Source organism: Homo sapiens, chromosome 2, assembly GCF_000001405.40.
Source record: "Homo sapiens chromosome 2, GRCh38.p14 Primary Assembly".
NCBI classification, from domain to species: domain Eukaryota; kingdom Metazoa; phylum Chordata; class Mammalia; order Primates; family Hominidae; genus Homo; species Homo sapiens.
The window spans coordinates 103,290,526-103,294,964 of record NC_000002.12 but is presented as its reverse complement, the minus strand read 5'-3'; the positions used below and the strand labels follow the sequence as shown (position 1 = coordinate 103,294,964).

Genomic DNA, 4,439 nt, shown 5'->3' with positions numbered 1-4,439 from the left:
CACTAAAGTACACACTGTTTAAAATTATTTAAGATGCTTTTTGAACATTCTCTCCAAGAATTTTCCATCAGCTGAAGTTTTATTGCATTTCTGATTGGAGCTATGAAGAACAGTCAATGTAGGCACAAAGAAGCCACCAGAAAAAGAAACAGAAAGAAACCCTAAAAAAGTCCCCAGTTGATTCGATATCACGATACAGATAAGATCATGGTGGGATTGAATATCAAATAAGACAACTGCCCATGCTAACAAAAAAAGAGATGTCTTAGAGGACACATCCACATCGCAAAACGAATGGCAATACCCTGTTAAATGTGACATAGGTTTGAAGAATTTTGAAGACCATAACTGTTTCGCTTCCTCTGTAAACAACATTTAAGGCTCCTTCTTATCTTGTTCCACACACAAGAAGAAGCTTTTTTGCTTTCGTTTAACACAAGTATTTTCAACCTCACAGATGAAGGCAGGTAAAAAAGCCCTTTTCTCTAGTAAAGACTTCGTTTCATTGTATGCATGAAATCTGTGTTAAAACCCAGCCACTCAATGTTAACTAAAACTGCATTGAGGGACCTCTGATTCACCAGCATATTTTCATTTAATCAAAGACACCTGGTTTTTTGAATCTCTGACTCTAAATAATTCTGAGTATTTTTGTTTTCTTTTTACTTTGATAAAGGACTTTCCTTTTCTATAGCTGGTGTCGTCAAAATGCATTGGTCCCATCCACCCCCAAACCAAAGACGTAAACAATATTCACGCAGGGGGAATATAACTTAAGCAATTCACAGAGTATACAAACATTTATTGGTACAAAACCTGCAACATGAGTTTTTTGTTAAATTTTAACAGTGTTTTCTCAAATCTTCAAAGCTTGCCTTGATGGTTTGCTGAAGTAATTGAACCACTCTTGAGTTGTTTTATGTAGGACATCTTATCTTTCTTTCATTACCCAGGCTGTGGCTTTTTTTCTATTCCCATGAAATCCATGTACACACTTTAGAAGCCCTCCTGAACAAGCTCGCTTCTAACTTTCACAGAGCCCTTAGCACAATTTGAATACGAAAGAGATACTGAATAAAAAGCTTTAATCTCTTGTCTGTTATGCTGCTTTCTTGCCTCTCTTCATCTCCTCCTCTTCCAAGGGCTTTTCTGTGTGAGTAAAGTGAACACTTTCTGTTTAAAGTGAAGTGTGATATTCAAGAAGATGCATTCGGTAGGCTGAGATCGGGAAGTGGCTCCTGTAAATCTCCTCTGTCAAAAATTTAGCTACATTTCTGCTGCATTGCCTTCTGTTTAAGTCTTTGCAGGTAAAAGATTAGTAAAGAGCTCTCCGTGAACAAAAATCATTCAATCAGCAGAATGTACAGGGAGTATCAAATGTGCCCTCCGCCTCAAATACTGTGGGGTTCTCTCCTCTGATACCTCTTCCCCTCGGTGAGCTGAAACTGCTTGAAAGGGTTTTCTGTTCTCTGGTCTCTTGTCAATTTGAATGCCAGGAAATGAGCCCCCTTTGTGAGATTAATTAATAGCAGGAGCGGATCGGCCGAGCCCAATCGCCACGCAACGGAGCTGTAATTGCTACTTTGTGGAAAGGAAAGAAAAAAAGTTTGGGTTGCCGTTTAAGAAGAGGGTTTAAGGAAAGTTCTTTGAACTGGAGGTCTCAGTGCACTGGATTAAGGCAAGAAGCAAGGAGGCCTTTGAAGTTTGCTAAGAGGTTTTGGAGGGGAAAAAAGTTGGGTGGCAAAGGGAGCTGGCAACATCAAAAGCGCTCTCGCTGCTCCTCACCTGCTTGGCTTCCGAATGGGGCCCACAGGCTGGAAAGCAGCCTTGCAGGTCAAGAGACCAGCCAGGATGGCGGGGGTGGGTGTTTGTTTATTTGCGCTGCAGACATGCACTGTTGCTACAATGTATGTGCCGTATCTCAAATTAGAGGTGCTGATTTAAGACTCTGCTCTTGGACGCACTTATAGAATGAACCTACATCTGCCACACGATCCCCCAAATTGATTTCTCTCATTTCTTCATGCCACTTTCCCTTCTAAGATCTGCAACGACAGTTTACGAAGTTTCCCTGCTTATCATTTAGCAACGATATATTGATAAGAGAAAAAAAAGGATGAGATTATTACAGCAAACATATCCATCCCCTGTCTGGAAATTAGAATTAGTGAATGCCATGTATTCTCAGCAGGGACAATATCGCCCCCAAGGGGGTGAAATTGATTCTTGGGGGTGGGGGGAGCTGAAAAAAAATCTTAGCTATTATAACCTTTTATGGCTCTCTAAAGGACTACAGCACATCAACGGATACACAATATATCTGAACTAATACGATTTCATGGGGAGGGAAACAATTAGAAATAAAATATCTACAAAGGCTCTTTAGGGGTCATAAAAAAACAAATAATAAACCCTGAGGATCACTGGTATAAGCAAATTTCTAAAAAGTTGTACGAATTTCATTTCATAAGAATTGTGTATTGACCAGAAGTTACCTCAAGCATATGTATTTCCCATTTTTATTTTATATGTAGTAGGTCCTATCTCAATACTTCCAAATCTTATATTAAGTTTTTCATTATTATTTTGTTAGGCTCGTCAGACTGATGGCTTGAGAAGATCCACATATTTGAATTGAAAACTTGAATAGATTTTACTTCTTACTATTACAATTTGTCTGTAGGCTCAGATTGCATACTTGATTTTTTAGAAAAAATAACACAATTAATTTGCCAGATTGTTTGAGTACCTTGTGAAACATCACAAGTTCCAAACTTAGATTTTTAAAAATAATCTGTAGATCTACATGTTTTATTAATACAACTTATTGAATCCATTCAAACTTTGCTTGGCATGCTTTTTCCTTAGGCTAATGAAGTTAGGTATCAATTTCAAATCATAAGCAGTATTTAAGGAGAGAAGTTATAGAAAAAAAAAAAAACCTTGACATTTATTGGCTAATGGGATTGTTTTAGAACTCTCACTAATTTAAATTCAAGGATTTTGCTTTCATTTTGAACTCAACTTCCAAGATAAATACATAAAATTTTAATTTAACCAAATGTGTAAATATTTAGGAATATACTTTAATAATGAGAAAATCTTGTTCCTATGTTTTTAATCTATAACCATGCTTTATTTTTCTCCCATTATAATGACAAGGAATGTTTGAAAATCAAGAAGCCCAGTCTGGTCTGAGTAAACCAGAAACTTTTCTAGGCCTGCCTTGCAGCTAGACACCATGTTTCTCAGCATTATCACCATTGACAGTACTATTCTTCACTGACCTTGAGAAACAAGTTTTGGAGACTTTGCTTTACGAAAAATTTATATACATGGGAATATGCATAGGGAGCCATGTCCTCTCTTTTCCAATGTATTTGATCTGATGTGTTCAGAAAGATATTCAGTAGAGTGACAGTCTTAGCAAAAAGGACTGGTGACATTTCAGGGCTTCCTTTTCATTGACATCCAATACCACTTCGTGCTGCACAAGCAGGTTGGCCTAGCCTAGCATTCAGCCCACAGTGAGCAATCAATAAACGTTGTTGACTGACCTCCGTTGGTGCACCCAACACATCAACCCATGGACTCTGCAGCCTCATTACAGAACCATCTTGGGGGACATGCCATTTTGAAAGTTTTACAAATATTTTTAATACAATGAGTGAGTGAATGAAGTAGCTGGTAATTATGACTCCATTGCTAGAATTCCCAATCCCTAATCCTTCCAAACTTGCAGCAACACATGTCTCTGTTTCCAATGAATGCCATGATTCACCTCACTTAGGAGAGATCTCTCCACTTCATGCAGAATAGAAATTACGGACATATAGAAATGTGTACAATATAAATGACTTGAAATATATGTTCTATAATATTGGCTGTACTGTAGTCCACTAGCTGTCAAAAAACTGTATATAATTATGCTCATTAAGAAAAAACAGGCATATATTCAATTACTTTTCTGCTGCCAGAATAGTTTTCTCTTCTATTATATCAAATATCTTAGTTTATGCCATGCATGTTAAAGTTTACCACTCCTTGAGGCTTGTAACTGCAACATTTTTGAGCTATCTGGAGGATTATAATTGCGTGCACATACCAATTATGGATTGGATTCAGCATTTTCAGATAACTTCCCAAATCGCAAAGACAGCACAGTGGTCTCCAGGCATTTTCAGGCCAGTTTGATTACAGGTGTAGTACACACAGTCTTGTTAGTTCTCCTTGATGAGGGCTTCCTTTCCCTGCTGGGTCTCTGGGAGAGAAACTGACCATTGCTTTTCACTAACAATTTCTTCTCATTCCCCAGAGATGCCTTAATGAGCCCCTCGGACATGGCCAAAGGCAATCTTGTTCTCTGGGCCAGTGAGGTGAAAAGCCAAAGCTTAACCTACCAGGCAAGCAATAATTAATAAGGTATCTTTGATTCATCT

At 38.0% G+C, this 4,439-nt stretch overlaps 1 annotated feature.

Annotated features, from left to right (window-relative positions):
* Positions 202 to 2,065: an enhancer, noted in NCBI's record as "VISTA enhancer hs1112". NCBI's record gives its function as "enhancer in: hindbrain (rhombencephalon)[10/12] | midbrain (mesencephalon)[12/12] | forebrain[12/12] | limb[12/12] | branchial arch[12/12] | other[11/12]" and the evidence as "EXISTENCE:transgenic organism evidence [ECO:0001131][PMID:17130149]".